The sequence below is a fragment of the Homo sapiens genome, chromosome 8, assembly GCF_000001405.40.
Source record: "Homo sapiens chromosome 8, GRCh38.p14 Primary Assembly".
Taxonomy (NCBI): Eukaryota; Metazoa; Chordata; class Mammalia; order Primates; family Hominidae; genus Homo; species Homo sapiens.
The window spans coordinates 78,773,729-78,793,051 of NC_000008.11; the positions used below are offsets into that span (position 1 = coordinate 78,773,729).

Below are 19,323 nucleotides of genomic sequence, written 5' to 3' on the forward strand. Positions count from 1 at the left end.
TGGCGATTAGTACATGTTTGGGAAGTTCTCATAATGTATTTCTGACTGAGATGCTTATCCACTTTGACTGGAGAAGCCAATTAGGTAGAGGGTAGATGTGAATTATGGGAGAAACACAGTGTGAGGAGGAACAAAGGCAGAAAAATCAGAAGGAAGGCTGTCTGTAGGAATTCTGCCTCATTGCAAATATGCAACTGGGGTAAATCTAGCTGAATGAAGGTACTGGCTCCAATTTGGCCATATTAGGTAAACAAGCATTCTTTAGTTTGGAACGCCACTGTGAAAAAAATTATAAAGAAAAAACTCCAACCTTATTAATCATGTTCTACATTTTCTACCAAAAGAGCAGAGAAAAGAAAAAAAAACATATATTTGTGAGTTCAACTGTGTTTACCCTATCTAACATTTTGGATTTCATTACTTATAATAATTTTCAATGCCTAAGTTTTGAGAAGGCAAGAGATACCAAGTATTTGCAAAGACTAAGACTGCAGATCCTTATCTAACCCTGTAGCCTTGCCTCTTCTTCATCTAATGCCCAACATTGCTAGGTTAACAAGAAGGAAAAAAAGTACCTGGAATTTTTTGACTTTAGCATTGATTCTTTGTGATGACAATAAGTATATATTAATTATATTCTAACATGTATGAAATAGGACATATTTAATACCAAAATTTAATATCCCAAAAGTGTTTTGTACTAAATTTTATGTTAATAACAAAGGTGAACATATACTACTAATTAACAACTGTATGTTAATTAATAAAAGCTCTGCATCTATAAAAACGTGACTATATTAATTTCCCAGTCCTTCCTATGACCAAGAATAGCCCAAGTAAAGCAATTCTCGTGCAATTTATTGGCACTGTGCTTCTCATTTAACTTACACCCATAACATAGCGTGTTTTCTAATACATGTCTCTGTGGTACATAAAACAATGGCAGAAATAGAAAGTTAATATTTTAACAATTAATATTGATGGAATCCACTGTAGAGAACATTAGGACATAAAGAACAAACAAAGAATAAAAATGACTATATTCTTAAATATGGTGTTTCAGAATAATATCATCATGAAAGTGTCCTCAGTGCTTTTTTATGCAAAAGAGTTAGAAAACTTGTGATTGTGAGTTTTCATTTGTGAAAATACCTCTACAGAATTTCTCTGATGAAGCTCAACTTAAGAAAAATCAATTGGTGAAATTCACTAGAAAATCTAATAATGTAATGAATACAGAACAAAAGAATGTCTCATGAAAGGGTAATGAACAAATCTTAGTTGTTAAACCCATTCTTTAACTTGTGTAAAGTTGTGTATGCATTACATTTATTTTTCTGGAGGTAATATATATTTTTTATTCATGAGTTGCCTTTTCCAGCTTTACCAACACACCTTAGGTACACAACGTAGTATTTTATTAATTTACTTTAATCCAGGTGTGGTTATATAAGTTTGGGGATAAGAAATGGTGTTCCAGGAACTATATGATTCAACAATTGGCAGATTTGCCTAGCTATCAGTGTTCATGTTAAATACACACACTGCATAACTATTGAAAACCTGACGGCATATTCACCTGTACTTGGTACAGTGCCATACGTCACAAAATTATACATATCCTACTCTGGATGTGCAGAAAGGTTATTATGGAATTCATCCAGGGCATTCATTCTTTGGTTCTCCTAAGTAGTCGATACTTCTACATCAGTGCAATGAAAAGAACACCAAACTAGAGTTTGTGGATGACTGTGTGCATTTCTGACATTGAATAGTTTTACAGCAGGAATGGATCTCAGAGATTATGAAAATCAAAATTCTAATTGGAAAAATCAGGCTTTCAAGCAGTTAACTGAATTGTCCAACATCTCATAGCCAAAGGGGCAAAGTGGGGACTCTGACCAAAGCATTTCATTTCCAGTCCTTTTTCTTCCTGTAGCGTTTTACTGACTTACTGTAACCTCTCCTTGAATTTTCTCATAAGCAAAATGAGTACATTGGACTAGGGCAGTGGTTTTCATAGATCATATTCCATGTAGTCCTAGGATTTCATAAGGTAACTGGGGGGGCGCTTAGAAGTAAGCGTAAGGATGATACAGGATAGTCAGGGCTTGGGACTTCACTGGACCTCTGTGTAAGATTTTACTTCAAACACTTCCATGCTAAATAAATATTTAGTGGTTATTAAATAGCCACTTCTACATTCTCTACAGTAGTACCCCTTATCCTTGGAGGATACTTTCCAAGGCCACCAGTGGATGCCTGAGACCATACATGGTACCAGACCCTATATATGCGGTACTTTTCTTCCTATGCATACATACCAATGATAAAACTTTAATTTATAAATTAGGCACAGTAAGAGATTAATAACAATACCTAATAATGAAATAGAGCAATTATGACAATATTCTAGCATCACTACTCTTGCTTTTTGGGGCCATTATGAAGTAAAGTAAGAATGACTTGAACATAAGCACTGAGATACCTCTGCAGCCAATCTGATAATCTAAAAGGCTACTATGAGACTAATGGGCAGGTAGCATCCACAGCCCGGTTCTGCTAGACAAAGGGATGATTCACCCCTTGGATGGGATAGAGTGAGACAGTGCAAGATTTCATCATGCTACTCAGAACGGCACACAATTTAAAATTTACGAATTATTTCTGGAAGTTTCCATAGAAGATTTTTGAACCTTCATTGATTTTTGGGTAACTGAAACCACAGAAGCTGAAATGTTGGATAAGAGGGGACTAAAGTGAATGCAAAATCATATTGTGTATGTTTGAATTTTGCTCTCATAAATCACACAATTTCTAGCCATTTTCAAATATTACAGGTTTTTATTTGCATCTGTTCTTAAGGATGTGAGATAGGAAATTTAGAGAGCATTGTTGCAGACATTATTTCTAACATTAATAATATGACAAGAACTATGACTTGTTGAATGCTTAAGTTCCAGGCACTGTTCCATGAGCTTTACATATATTAGCCCATTTAATTTATTTAAAATAACCCTATGAAGTATGGGTCCTAATTTTATCCCCACTTTAGAAATAAGGAAACTAAGGCACAGAAGGATTAAGTAATTTATCCAATGTCACATAGCTAGCAAGTGGCATATTCAGATTCAATATTGACACAGGGTCCACACGGGTCATAACATAAGTAGATGCAGTATAAATTACTCCCTGGCAGATGAAAACATCTGTGATCTTCATGGTGAATAGAAACTTTTCATCTCTATAAATGACATTCCTACTCTCACATTCCTCAATACCAATGATGGTCTTTGAATTAATAACCTGCATAATAAGCACCATTAAGAGAAAAACAACTGAAGCACAAATATTATCATTATGTGATCGACAATGTCTTCATCGGTTGTCTAGTTGAGATTCACCTCTATCTGCACATGGTAAAGAAGCTAGATAATAAAGTTTATAATATCTAATGCAGGCATAGATGTGGGTTCAAAACAAATAAAAATACCAATATAGTAATTTTCATAAAATAGCTATTCAGGCCTGGGAGTATTAGACGCATCATTGTCCTCAAAGTTGAATGCACAGACTTAATGGAAGTCTGGCCAGGTATGAGAACAGGCCTTGACAACAACAGGCACCTATAAAAAAGGGCAATCTGAAAGTGCCTTCCTTCTTCACTAGGACGGACTTTGTAATTATGTTGTGGCATTAGCATTCATCTCATTGCTCCAACTTGCAGTTTCTCCTTTTTCTCTCCAGGTGCTGGGGGCCATTTCAGTTTTACTCTTCCTTTTGGGAAACTACCTTTAAGGACTCCATGCATTCACTACTGCCTTTTATTTGCTTGTTCCTAATGCAAGAACTATATTTTATCAATCTTTGAGTTTTCCATTGTATTTTCATGTAATAAAAATTACTGATTGAATGACAATATCATCAATCACATACTCCCAAACTTTCAGAGGACATCAGCTGCCATCTGTAAATTTTACTATGGTTTTTAAAAAGAAACATGCCATACTCAACAGTGCCAACTACGAATGCTGAAATAACCTATCTTTCTGAATGCTTTTCATCACAAATTTATTTTATATGGCGCATATGAATTATCTTTCTAAATCCCAGATTTAATTCTACACTGCTGCAGTTTAAAAGCCTGATCGCTCCTTATTATATAGTCCTAAAGATCAAGTTCACATTCTTCGGCCTGGTATGTAAGGTCTTGCAAAATCTAGCCATACCCTACCTTCCAACTTTTCTACATCCAAATCTCCTCTAGAGCTACATGGGGCCATTGACTTAAATCTAATTACCAAGCCCCCAGGTCAAATTAGTTGGTATCCCTAAACATTTTCAACTGTAATTATCAGCATTATCCCATTGCATTGCAATTCTTTATTTAAGAGTCTAGCTCTCTTTCAAAACTAAACCTCATAGTCTGGTAAACTGGTCTTTTTTATACCTGTGCTCATTATTTAACAGCTTGCACACAATCTTTAACAGCCATTTCATAAATGCATGCAAAATTGCATGGAAAGGCAGGATTCGAAGCTTTGACTCAAATAGTCCTCTCTGATGAAATGGCATTCCCTTTCATTTTTGCCTCCTTAAGAACTATACATTCTTCAAAGTCCCATTAAAATTGTTATTCCACTCTGAGTCACTAGAGTTCTTGAAGAGGGGAATACATCATTCAGATTTGAGTTGACAGATTACTATTAGCAGATGCTTAATAAATGTTTAAAATAATGGAATATTAAGGAAACATTTATTAAATAGGGAATCCTTTCCCCATTGCTTGTTTTTGTCAGGTTTGTCAAAGATCGGATGGCTGTAGATATGTGGTCTTCTTTGTGAGGTCTCTATTCTTTTCCATTGGACTACGTGTCTGTTTTTGTATGAGTACTGTGCTATTTTGGTTGCTGTAGCCTTGTAGAATGTAGTTTGAAGTTGGGTAGCATGGTGCCTCCAGCTTTGTTCTTTTTGCTTAGGATTGTCTTGACAATACTGGCTCTTTTCTGGGTCCATATGAATTTTATGGTAGTTTTTTCTAATTCTGGGAAGAATGTTAATGGTAATTTAATGGGAGTAGCATTGGATCTATAAATTACTTTGGGCAGTATGGCCATTTTCACAATGTTGATTCTTCCTATCCATGAGCATGACATGTTTTTTCATTTGTTTGTGTCCTCTCTGATATACTTGAGCAGTGGTTTGTATTTCTCCCTGAGAGGTCTTCACTTGCCCTTGTTAGCTGTATTCCTAAGTATTTTATCCTCTTTTTAGCAATTGTAAATGGGAGTTCATTCATGATTTTGCTTTCTCCTTGTGTATTGTTGGTGTATAGGAATGCTTGTGATTTTTGCACATTGATTTTGTATTCTGAGATTTTGCTGAAGTTGCTTATCAGCTTAAGAAGCTTTTGGGCTGAGACAATGGGGTTTTCTAGATATAAAATCACATCATCGGCAAACAGTTTGACTTCCTGTCTTCCTATTTGCCTACCTTTATTTGTTTCTTTTGCCTGATTGCCCTGGCCAGAACTTCCAATACTATGTTGAACAGGAGTGGTGAGAGTGGGCATCCTTGTCTTGTGCTAGTTTTCTAGAGGAATGCTTCCAGCTTTTGTCCATTCAGTATGATATTGGCTGTGGGTTTGTCATAAATGGCTCTTGTTATTTTGAGGTATGTTCCATCAATATCTAGTTTATTGAGAGTTTTTAACATGGGGGGATGTTGAATTTTATCAAAGGCCTTTTCTACATCTATTGAGATAATCAAGTGGTTTTTGTCTTTAGTTCAGTTTATGTGATGAATTACATTTATTGATTTTTGTATGTTGCACCAGCCTTACATCCCAGAGATGAAGCCAACTTGATCATGGTGGATAAGCTTTTCGATGTGCTCCTGGATTTGGTTTGGCAGTATTTTACCGAAGATTTTTGTATTGACGTTCATCAGAGATGTTGGCCTGAAGTTTTCTTTTTTTGTAGTATCTCTGCCAGGTTTTGGTGTGAGAATGATGCTGGCTTCATAAAATGAGTTAGTGAGGAGTCCCTCCTTTTCAATTGTTTGGAATAATTTCAGAAAAAATGGTACCAGCTCCTCTTTGTACCTCTGGTAGAATTCAGCTCTAAATCTGTCTGGTCGCGGGTTTTCTTGGTTGGCAGGCTATTTATTACTGCCTCAATTTCAGAACTTGTTATTCGCCTATTCAAGGATTCAACTTCTTCCTGGTTCAGTCTTGGGAGTATATATCTGTCCAGGAATTTATCCATTTCTTCTAGATTTTCTAATTTATTTGCATAGAGGTGTTTATGGTATTCTCTGATGGTTGTTTGTATTTCTGTGGGGTCAGTGATGATATTTATCTTATCGTTTTATTGTGTATATTTGATTCTTCTCCCTTTTCTTCTTTATTAGTCTAACTAGCAGTCTGTTTTATTAATTTTTTTCAAAAACCAGCTTCTGGATTCATTAATATTTTGAAGGGTTTTTTATGTCTACATCTGCTTCAATTCTTTTCTGATCTTGGTTATTTCTTGTCTTCTGCTAGCTTTGTGGTTTGTTTGCCCTTGGTTCTCTAGTTCTTTTCATTGTGATGTTAGGATGTTGACTAGAGATCTTTCTAGCTTTTTAATGTGGACATTTAGTTTTATAAATTTCTCGCTTAACACTGCTGTAGCTGCATTCCAGAGATTCTGGCACACTGCCTCTTTGTTTTCATTGATTTCAAAGAACTTCCTGACTTGTGCCTTAAGTTCATTATTTACCGAGGAGTCATTCAGGATCGGGTTGTTCAATTTCCATGTAATTGTATGCTTTTGAGTGAGTTCCTTAAAATTGAGTTCTAATTTGATTGCACTGTGGTCTAAGAGACTGTTTGTTGTGATTTCAGTTCTTTGGCATTTGCTGAGGAGTGTTTTACATCCAATTATGTGGTTGATTTTACAGTAAGTGCCATGTGGTGCCAAGAAGAATGTATATTCTGTTATTTTGGGGTGGAGAGTTCTGTAGATATCTATCAGGTCCACTTGATCCAGAGCTGAGTTCAATTCCTGAATATCCTTGTTAATTTTCTGCCTCAATGATCTGTCTAATATTGACAGTGCAGTGTTAAATTCTCTCACTATTATTCTGTGGGAGTCTAAGTCTCTTTGTATGTCTCTAAGAATATGTTTTATGAATCTAGGTGCTCCTGTATTGGGTGCATATATATTTAGGATGTTAGCTCTTCTTGTTGAATTGAACCCTTTACAATTATGTAATGCCTTTATCTTTTTTGATCTTTATTGGTTTAAAGTCTGTTTTGTCAGAAACTAGGATTGCAACCCCTGATTTTTTCTGTTTTCCATTTGCTCGGTAGATTTTACTATTTTGAGCCTATATGTGTCTTTGTACATGAGATGTGTCTCTTAAATACAGCTCACTAGTGGACCTTGACTCTTTATCCAGCTTGCCACTCTGTGCCTTTTAATTGGGGCATTTAGGCCATTTACATTTAAGGTTAATATTCCTATGTGTGCAGTTGATCTTGTCACCATGATGCTAGCTGGTTATTTTACAGACTTGTTGATGTAGTTGCTTCATAGTATCATTGGTCTGTGTACTTCAGTGTGTTTTTGTAGTGGCTGGTAATCATTTTTCCTTTCCATATTTAGTGCTTCCTTCAGTAACTCTTGCATGGCAGGCCTGGTGATGACAAATTTCCTCAGCATTTGCCTGTCTGGAAAGGATTTTATTTCTCCTTTGCTTATGAAGCTTAGTTTCACTGGATATGAAATTCTGGTTAGAAACATTTTTCTTTTAAGAGTGTTGAATATTGGCCCCCAATCTCTTCTGGCTTGTAGGGTTTCTGCTGAGAGGTTTGCTGTTATTCCGATGGGCTTTCCCTTGTAGGTGACCTGGCCTTTCTCTCTGGCTGCCCTTAATATTTTTTTCCTTCATTTCAACCTTGGAGAATCTGATGATCATGTGTCTTGGAGTGGTTCTTCTCATGGCGTATCTTACTGGGGCTCTCTGTACTTCCTGAATTTGACTGTTGCCCTGTCTTGCTAGGTTGAGGAAGTTCTCCTGGATGATATCCTAAAGCATGTTTTCCAAGTTAGTTCAATTCTCCCCATCTCTTTCACGTACCCCAATCAGGCGTAGGTTTTGTGGGTTTACATAATCCCATAGTTCTCACAGGTTCTGTTCATTTCTTTTCATGCCTTTTTTCTCTAATTTTGTGTCTTATTTCAGCAAGATAGTCCTCAAGTTCTGAAGTGCTTTCCTCCACTTGATCTATTCAGCTATTGATACCTGTGGTTGCATTGGGAAGTTCTTGTGTTGTATTTTTCAGCTCCATCAGGTCATTTATGTTTCTCTCTAAACATTATTCTGGTTAACAGCTTCTATAATGTTTTATCATGGTTCTTAACTTCTTTGCATTGGGTTAGGACATGCTCCTTTGGCTCAGTGAAGTTCATTATTACCCACCTTCTGAAGCCTACTTCTGCCAGTTTATCCATCTCAGCCTCAGCCCAGTTCTGTGCCTTGTTGGAAAGGTGTTGCGATCATTTCAAGAAGAGGTACTCTGGCTTTTGAGTTGTCAGTGTTTTTTCATTGACTGTTTCTCATCTTGCTGAGGTTATCTACCTTTGATCTTTGAGGCTGCTGACCTTTGGATGGGGTTTCTGTGGGTGCCTTTTTGTTGATGCTGTTGTTGTTGTTGCTTTCTGTTTGCTTTTCTTTTAACAGTCAGGCCCCTCTTCCATAAGGCTCCTGTCAGTTGCTGGGGGTTCACTCCAGACCCTATTTGCCTGGGTCTCTCCCACCCCTGGGGGTGTCACCAGTGGAGGCTGCGCAACAGCAAAGATGGCTTACTGCTCCTTCCTCTGGGAGCTCCATCCCAGAGGGTTATTGACTTCATGTTAGTGGGAATGTCTCTATATAAGGTATCTGGTGACCCCTGTTGGGGGTGGTCTCACCCAGTCAGGAGAACAGGATCAAAGACCCACTTAATGAAGCACTCTGGCTGGAATCCCACTCGTCTGAACTGCCTGGATTCCTCAGAGCCAGCGGGGAAAAGACTAAGTCTGCTGATCCACAGAGACAACAGCCGCTCCTCCCCCCAGAAGCTCCATCCCAGGGGTATCAGAGCTCTGTCCGTAAACCCCTGGCTGGAGATGATGAAATTCCCAGAGGGAGGCCACATGCAGTGAAGATGGATGGGTCCGGGTGCAGCCTAAAGAGGCAGTCTGGTGATTATCTGCCACAGCTGCTGTGTTGCACTGTGGAGAATTCCTCCTGGATCTGAACCACCCAATATCTCTGGCACCAGCAGGGGAAAAGGCAGACTGGAGCTGCAGTGATGGTTGCTGCCCCTTTTCTAAGTTCAGTCATCTTAGGCAGCAGGTAGCCATAGCGATGGTGGCTACCCTTCCCTCTAGGAACTCTGTAGTCTTAGGCAGACCCCAGCCCAGTGGCCACTGAGAGAATATGCACTGCTCTGTGCTTGGAACCCAAGGCCCTTTTGGTGTGGGCTTATGATGGGAATCTCCTGATTTGCAGGTTGCACCCATCCACGGAAAAATATGGTTTCCTGGGCAGGATGGCCAATCACTCACTGCCTCCCTTGGCTGGGGATGGGAGTCCCACTTACCCCCTGCAGGTGGGCCATTACTCCACTCTGATTTCTTTGCTTTCTGTCAGTTGCACCAACCACCTAGTCAGTCCAAATGAGAGAACCTGGATACCTTAGTTGCCAGCACAGGATTCACTTGCTGTTTTTGTTATTCTCGGTGGAGGCCTCCAACTGCAACTGTGTCTAGTCAGCCATCATGGCCCAGCTCTCACTCATTAGTCTTAAGGTTAATATGCAGTAATGGTTATATACCATCCTACAAGCAGCGATCTAATTACCAATTAACATATGTGGCAACTGTAAATTTATAATCACAAATGCTTATATGCTGTACTTTATAACTATTTACTTGAACTTTAAATATCAATTTCAACTATATAACCTGTGATTAATGAGACAATTTGAGAGATGAAGTATGAGATGGATATATTCGAAGATTCTAGTGAGCTGAAGTGGGGTGGTAACAGGCAGATCAAAGATAAAGATTTATTAAAGAAATATGTAAAGCAAAGCAGCCAAGTATGATAAACCAAACTGTCAGAAGAGAGTGTTCTGTTTTGAGAGCATAACTCTAAACACCACCTGGTTAAGCAAAAATAAGCGAGCCATTAGGTAAACTGCAAGTAAATATATGAGTAGCACATAAACCAATAGTGAGAAGTCACTGATAGAGCCAATATGGTGAAGACTATAAGTCATATAATGATTTTAAAATGTCACTGTTATGAACTGAACATTTGTGTCTCCTCGAAATTCATATGTTGAAATCCTAACCCCCAATGTGTTGTCGTTAGAAAGTGAGGCCTTCGGGAGGTAATTAAGTCATGAAGGTGAACCTCTAATGAATGGTGGTAGTGCCTTATAAAGAAACACCAGAGAGCTCTCTAGCCATCTGAAAATTTCACATTCTGCCACGTGAAGATATGAGAAGCTGGTAGTCCACAACCTGGAAGAGGTCCTTCACCAGAACCCAACCATATGCCACCCCAATCCTGGACTTCCAGCCTCCAGAACTGTGAGGAATAAATTTCTCTTGTTTATAAGCCACCAAAGTACCAAAGTCCATGGTTCTTTGATATGGCAGCCAGAAGTGTCTAACACAGTCACTTATGTATATCAACATCTTTACAACATAATTTTGAATTATACTATATACACGATATAACATATAATTTTATGCTACACTGTAATTTTATAACTTTAAAATAACATTTAAGTTTTTTTTAATGTAAACTATGTTCATTCACTCAGTCAGTCAATAAATATTTATGAAGGGTCTTGTCTGTACCAGGTAACATTCTAGATGGTGGGGATACAAGGATTATCAAGACAGAGAGTCTCTGTCCTAAAAATATGATAATTTGAGACAGTAGCAAGAACCATGAGGAAAATAAAAGAATATAATATATTTTGAAGAGGCTACTCTAATTCTACAAGGAAGTGAATTTTGTGCTATCAATTGACCTTTTACTACAGTGTCTTCACTTTTCTCTTGGTTGGTTGGATTTTATATCCAGTAGCTCCCCTCCCCCTCCATCTTCTCCTTGAAAAGGCTCATGAGTGTTCTATTGCCTAAATTCTGACATACATAAATTTCTGCCTGTGCACTTTATATTTGAACAACATCTTGTCTAGGTATCAAATTCTGAGCCACATTTTTATCTCTCAGAATTTTGTAGACATTATTCCATTATCTTTTGCATTTAGATGTGAAAAATCTGAAGCCACTCTGATTCTCCTCCAACTGACTTGCCATTTCCACCTTTAGAATTATTCTTCCTTGCTCTTGAAATTCAGTCACTTTTCCAAGATATAACTTAGTAACAATCATGTTGAATCAATTTTTATAGTACATGATATACTACCTAGCACTGTTCATTCCATTTTGCCTCAATTTGTGGAAAAAATTTCCTCTATCATAGGTTGTTTTATTCTTCCATTCGATGAATTTTCTTTGGTAGGAACAATTATTCATAAAATGGATCACTATCATCTCTTCTTATCTTTTATTGTTTCAGCAACTGTTTGGTATTTGTATTTTTACTGTGCATTTATGGTGATTATAACAAATCTATTTCATATTTTTTGTTCATTCTTCTTGTTGTTGCTAACACTTTTGTCACATCTAAAATGGAGGGAGTGCATAATTTTGGATTTCAATGTATTTCCTTGGTTGTATAATATTTTTTCATCTCATTCTATTCTTTTATCAACTACTCTTTGATATTCTGTTGTAAAATTCATGTGTACTTTAAAACTATGGCGTGAAGTACAAATGAAAGTTTTTATTCTGTTTCTTCGTGTCTGCCCCCTTCCAGAATGGATGCTTATATTCTAGGTTTCTTTTAGTCTTTTTATTTTGCTGTGGCATTTCTGTATCGTTGTATGTTATTTTCATCTTAAATTTAAAGTGGACCACTCTGTGCTGATATTTATTTGACTCCATATCTCATGATCCTCTTCTCACTTATCACAGTCACTTCTCTGTTGAATTTCTAAGTGAAGCCACAGTATTATCTGCTCTGTGTGCTCTTGGAAAGCCTGGGAACACAGCTATATGCGAAGGGGTATGTGGCAATGGTAGTGCACTGAGAAGTGGGAAAACCTGTGGTCAATTTTGTTGGTGGACAGGGACTGTCCTCTTTCTCTCTTTTTATTAAAGACTATTTTATAGAGCAATTTTAGGTCCACAAAAAAATGAGAAGAAGGTATAGAGATTCCTCATGTACATTGTGATACTGTGAAATACAGTTATGTGTCACTTAATGATAGGGGATATATTATGAGAAATGTGTCATTGTAATGGTGCCATTAGATGATTTCATCATCGCACAAACATCATAGAACCCAAACCTAAATGGTATAGCCTATTACATACCTAGGCTATAAGGTATAGTCTATTGCTCTCAGGCTACAAACCTGCATAGCATGCACTAAATAGATAATAATAACACAATGGTAAGTATTTGTGTGTCTAAACATATCTAAATATAGAACAGGTACAGTAAAAATATGGTATAAAATATTAAAAATAGTACACTTGTATAGGGCACCTTCCATGAATGGAGCTTGCAGAACTGCAAGTTGCTCTGGATGAGTCAGTGAGTGAGCCATGAGTGAATGTGAAGGCCTAGGACATTACTGAACACTACTGTGCTATACCTTTATATGACTGGCAGTGCAATGGGTTTGTTTACATCAGTATCATCACAAACATGTGAGTAATGCATTCTAAGACATTACCACAGATATGATGTCACTAGGCAATATGAATATTGCAACTCCATTATAATCTTATGGGGCCATCATGGTATATGCAGTCCCTCATTGACTGAAACATTGTGTCGTATGACTGTATGTTTGGTCTTTGTCCCAGATTCCTGACACACAACCCATAAAATCCTTGAAACCTCCAAAGGAATGTCTTTTTCTGTGCTAATGAGATGACTGGTATCTGGCAGCCCCTAGGCAGCCCCCAGCTCCAGCCCCAGTCCCAGCCCCTAGGATAACAAGGCATAAATAGAGGGTTGGGACTTTCGGCCCCATCCCCCAGCTTCTGGGGAGAGGAGAGGGGCTGAAGGTTATGTTGATCACCAATGGCCAATGATTTAATCAGTCATGCCTAACTCTCCAGAGAGCTTACAAATAGCTGAACATGTGGAGGTATTTGGAGGGTGGCATGCCCAGAGAAGGCAAGAAAGCTCCAGACCTGTTCTCCCATATCTTGCCCATGAATCTCTTCATCTGTACCTTTGTAATATCCTTTATAAGAAATGATAAATATTAGTATTTCCCCAAGTTCTGAGAGCTGCTCTAGCAAATTAGTTAAACCCAAGGAGCAGGTTGTGGGATCCCCATTGTACAGCCAGTTGGTCAGAAGCACAGGTTAGACATCCTAGGGTTTGTGATTGGCATCTGAAATGGGGGTGGAGGGGGAAGGAGGAGTCATGAAGACAGCCTCAACCTGTGCTATGTGGTGCTGTCTTCAGATAGATAGTGTCATAATTGAATTGACAGCCAGCTTGTGTCCTTTGCAGAATTGATTCTTTGCTTAGAATATGAGGAAAAAAACTCTCACACATTTGGTCATAGAAGTCTCCTATGTTGATTGTTGTTGAGGGAGAGAATAAGAAAACTGTTTTTTTTCCCACAGATACTCTCTGTCCCCACACATGCATAGCCTTCCCTGTTATTAACACTGTGCTCTCTTTTTAACAATTTACCTTTTGTTAAAGTGCATCATGGTGTATGGTGAGCTGGCCTGCATGAGGAAAGAGTGCTCATTTGGTCTTCAAGTTTCCTCCCAACTGAGAAAGAGGTGTTTTGCTTTTCATAGAGACTACCATATTTAGGGGTCATTTCCCCAATTCACTTGCTTTTCCCCAGTAGACATTTCCACGGCCTCTCTTCAAAGTGGAGTGTTAGTGAATTTTTTTTCAGGATGTTGTCCACTTTTGTCACCATTTATTTGAGTTTCCTAGGGCTTCTATAACAAATGTCCATGAACAGGGTGGCTTAAAACAACAGAAATTTAGTCTCTCAGAGTTCTGGAAGCCATAAGTCTGACATCAAAGTGTTGGCAGGGTTGGTTCCTTTTGGAGGCTCTGTGGTGAAACCACTTCATGACTTTCTCCTAGATTTTGGTGGCTGCTGGCAATCCTTGGTGTTCCTTGGCCAAGATAAGTTAATGCATAAAATTAACCATCAAAATACTTTTACCTCATTATCTTTATAATATCCATGGAATCAGTAGTGATGGCTCTCTTTTCACTTCTGATAGTAGTAGTTTGTGTCTTGTTTCTTATTTTCGTGGTCAGCCTGGCTGGAGGCTTATTAATTTTATTGATCTTTTCAAAGAACCAGTTTTGGTTTCATTGATTTTCCTCTACTAATTTCTTGTTCTCAATTTCATCTCTAATTTCATTATTTATTTTCTTCTGATTAATTTAGTTTTAATTTTCTTTCTCATTTCTGTTTTCCTAAGGTGGAAGATTAGACTATTGATTTTATATCTTTTTCTTTTCTTTCTATGCATTTAATACCCTAAGCACTGCTCTCACTGTATCATGCAAATATCTATTTTCTTTTCATTTAATTCAAAATATTTTAAAATTTCTTTTGAGACATTTTGTTTGACCCATATGTTATCAAAAATTGTGTTTTTAATTTCCAAATATTTGGGAATTTTCCACCTATTTTTCTTATTTTATTGATTTCTACTTCAATTACATTTTGGTTGAGAGCATGTTGTGCATGACTTGTACTTTATAAAAATTTGTTAAGGTGTGTTTTACGGCTCAGTACATGTTCAATTTTGGGGAATATTCCATGTGAGTCTGAGAAAAATGTGTATTATGCTGTTGTTTGATGAAGTATTTTATAACTGTCAATTAGATCCAGTTGATTTATGGTGCTTTCAAGTTCATCTGTAACCTTACTGATTTCCTCCCTGCTGAATCTGTCAATTACTGACAGAAGGCTGTGAAGTTTCCAACTATAATAATAGATACATGTATTTCTTGCAGTTTATCAGTTTTTGCTTCACAGAGTTTGATGCTGTTTTTAGATATGTACAGAGCAAGGATTCTTATGTCTTCTTGGATAATTGGCCCTTTATTATTATGTAATGCACCCTCTTTATATCCATGATAGTCCGCCTTGCTCTGAAGTTGACTTTGACTGAAATGAATATAGCTACTCCCATTTTGATTAGTGTTAACATAGTGTATCATTCCCCATCCTTTTACTTTCAATCTATATGTATCTTTATATTTAAAGTAGGTTTCTTTTAGGCAACGTAAAGTAGGGTTTTTAAAATCTACTCAGGCAGTCTCTATCTTTTAATTAGTCTATTTTTCTTTAATTTTTATAACTAGAAAAAAGTTATTCATAAAACAAAAAGCCTTGCCTCTTAAAAAGCAATGTCTCTTGTTAAATTGCAACTGATTAGTCATGCTACTGAGTCATATAAACAGGAAATTTATATTTTACTCTAGCATAAATTGATATTAAAAAACTAATTTTTATTGTAATCAATTTACATTTTCCTTATTTGTTAACTACAATTATTTAAACATTGTCCATTTATTTACACATATTTTTGAAGCAATATTTGGCTAGAATTTGATCCTTCTTTGGCTACTTCTGTTAGCAAACCAATCAAATGCAAGACCAAATCCTGATAGGTGCTGGGGGAGAGATACTTCATTAAAGAGTTTTTAAAAAGAAGAAAAATGGTAACAGATTTGAATCGGGACAGATAACTCAAGCATCATTAAAAAGGCCAGATGCACAGGGGAGGCAGGAAGGTTAGTCAGGGCCCACTGACAGCTGCAGAAGTGGTCCCGGTGAGATCTGACAACTACTTGAACTAAGACTAGTAGTAGAAGTCTATAGAATAGATGGATAATACAGGTGTTAAGATGATATATTAAACTATAGAATTTGGTGATGGATGAGATGAAGGCCATCAAAGATGATTCTAGGCTTTCAGAATTGAAAGACTAGGAAAATGCTAAAATTACCTAAGATAGAGAATACAGAAGCAGGAACAGGCTAAATGTGATGGCAATTAGTTGACTATTATGCATGAGGTGCCATAGTACATCTGGGTAGAGATATCTACTAGATATTTGAATTAAATGGTCCTAGAGTTAATGGGAGAAATGTAGACCTCAGGCTATATGAGAGCTGTCAGTGCAAAGACAGAAGTTGAATCTGTGAAAGCCTCTGGAATAGAGTCACAGTTAAAGATATTGGAAGTTGTGAAAGTATATTATAACCGATTAGTCATTAGATTTATAAGTTTACAACTTAAAATAAAGGGATAGCCCTGTATTTGCCTACAATTAGACTGAGTTATTCCTAGAAAGCGTTTGGCCATTTCTAGCAGCCTTTATATTTTGAAACAGCCTTTGCTGTGGTGACTAAGAGTTATGTAGTTCAACCATGTGAGTTATATTTAGGTAAAATAATTTTTTATGGATAAAAAATATTGTATAACATCCAAAACTAGTTCATATTGATATCAAAAAGTACCTGATATTTAATTCATAACAAATTTCCAAAGAACATATGTTAAAAAAACAGGCTTCCTAGATTATTCAAAATTAGCTCTGGGTTTTCATTAATTTATGGTGTTGATTAACAATCCATAAATTATTAATTAAACATTTGAAAAACTACTACGTGTAAGATGCTGGGCTAATAGTCTGTGAGATACAAAGATGACTCAAACATAAAATCTGTCCTTAATATACATATGGACTAGTACGGGGAAATAAGACACATACTTAGGTAAGTATACAAGGAGTGGAGAGTTAGAAATCATAGATAATTTTAAAATAAAGAAAAAATTCCATTTGCAATAGCATTAAAGAGACATAAGATACTTAGGAATAAATTTAACAAAAGAAGGGTAAAACCTATATTCTGAAAACTATAAAATATTGTTAAAAGAAAATTTAAAAGATACAAATAAATGGAACAAAAATCCCATGTTCATGGACCACAAGCATTTTTAAACATTATTACGAAAATGATGGTCCCAAATTAGTTTATGCATGAACCAAAACAATCTCAAAAAAAAAAAAAGTAAAATGATTCATATTTCCCGATTTCAAACTTATCCAAAGAAAGAGTAATAAAGACAGTTTGGTACTGACCCAGGACAGATATACAGATGAACAAAATGGAATTGGAGAGTCCAGAAATAAACCCATACATCTCTGGTGAAGTGATGTTTGATGAGGATGCCAAGATTATTCAAGGGGGAAAGACAAGTTCTTTCTTCTCCAAGTATCACTTATTTGTGGCTTTATAGGAAAACTATTTCTGTATCAATTTCACACCAGTCCCTGATCCCTCCCACCTTGGTGCCCAAATTGAACCATCTGAAATTTTATTATATAGATGTCACTACATAAAAATAAAATTATATATCAAAAGTAAGAAAATAAGGGAATTATGAATGGAAAGATGTTTTAAACAGATAGGACAATTACAGAGTTATACTTAGGCCAAGCACAGTGACTCATGCCTGTAATCCCAGCACTTCGAGAGGCTGAAGCAGGCAGATCACTTGAGGTCAGGAGTTTGAGAACAGCCTGGCCAACATGGCAAAAACCCATCTCTACTAAAAATACAAAAATTAGCTGGGTGTGGTGGCACATGCCTGTAATCCTAGCTACTTGGTAGGCAGAAGCACAAGAATTGCTTGAACCTGGGAGGTGGAGATTTCAATGAGCTAAGAACACACCAGTGCACTCCAGCCTGGGTGATGGAGTGAGACTCTGTCTCTAAATAAATCAATAACATTATACTTAATATATTATCATGTGCTCTTACCAAATGATGAGCATATCATCAAAATCTAATGGGAGAATGAAAACGGATCTTGAGAGCTATAAGGAAGAGAATACTCTTAAGCTCCCCACCACTTCTCTACAGTCTGTCATTACTTCTGTCCATGCCACTCACTGGACCATACTTACTAGTATATGGAGTCACATGGTTTAGTAATTGCTCAGAGATATGACATCACCAGAGAGATTTAGATTGCATTTAAATTATAAAGCTATTTAATATACTAATCCCTAAAAAAAGGTAGTCAATCCATAAAATAAATATCAGCAATTTCATCAGTATAAATGATTTTAAGAAAATAAAAACATAATTGAAAGACAAAACTGATTTCAAAACTAAACACCAAGCTACAGTAATTGAGACTGTCTGGTCCTGGCATAGGGATTATATATCAATGGATTACCATGGAGAGGTCAGAAATAAACCCATACATTTGAGTTCAATTTATTTTCAACAAGGGTGTCCAGACATTCAATGAGGGAAAATATAATTTTCAATATCAGATGCAGGAACAACTGTATAGCCACATGAAAAAGAATGAAGTTGGACCCCTACCTCACACCACGTACATAAATTAACTCAATATGAATCAAAGACCAACATGTGAGACTGAAACTATAAAGCTCTTAGAATAAAACATAGATGTAAATCTTTGTTGTCTTGGATTAAGCAATAGTTTCTTTGATATGAAAACAAAAACATGGGCAACAAGAGTAAATGAATTGGACTTCATAAAAGTTAAAAATGTCCTTCAAAGGACACTATCAAGAAAATAAAAAACAATACAAATGATGGGAGGAAAAAATATAATATCTGATAAAGGTCTAAGATCCAGAGCATATAAAGAACTCTTACAACTATAAAAATGAAAAGACAAATAATCCAATTTAAAAGTGGGTGAAAGATTTGAATAAACAATTCTCCAAAAGAAGATATATAAAATGGCTGATAATAACAGCCAATAATGAAAAGATGCTTGACATCATTAGTCATCAAGGAAATGCCAATCAGTATCACTATGAGATACTACTTCACACCCACAGAGATAGCTAGAATAAAAAGTTAGATGATAACAAGCTTTGGTGAGAAAGTAGAAAAATCAGAGCCTTAACTGCTGATAGAAACGCAAATGGTGCAGCCTCTTTAGAAACAGTTTGCAGTTTCTCAAAAAGTTTAACAGAGTGACCATATAATCCAACAATTTGACTACTAGGAACATATCAAGACAATTGTATAAAAACTTGCATAGCCAAACAATGGAAAACCCAAATGTCCAGAAATTGATGAATGGATAAACAAAATGTGGCATATCCATACAACAGAATTTTATTGAGCCATGAAGAGAA

At 36.6% G+C, this 19,323-nt stretch overlaps 1 protein-coding gene across 6 annotated transcripts in view, besides 1 other annotated feature; it reads right to left on the reverse strand.

The window, feature by feature from the left end:
* IL7 (interleukin 7) overlaps positions 1–19,323 on the reverse strand; it is a 130,420-nt gene that overhangs the window by 98,685 nt on the left and 12,412 nt on the right. The window lies entirely within an intron of this gene.
* Positions 17,393–17,593: a silencer, noted in NCBI's record as "peak7081 fragment used in MPRA reporter construct". NCBI's record gives its function as "represses an SCP1 promoter by STARR-seq MPRAs in K562 erythroleukemia cells {active_cell/tissue: K562}" and the evidence as "EXISTENCE:reporter gene assay evidence [ECO:0000049][PMID:32103011]".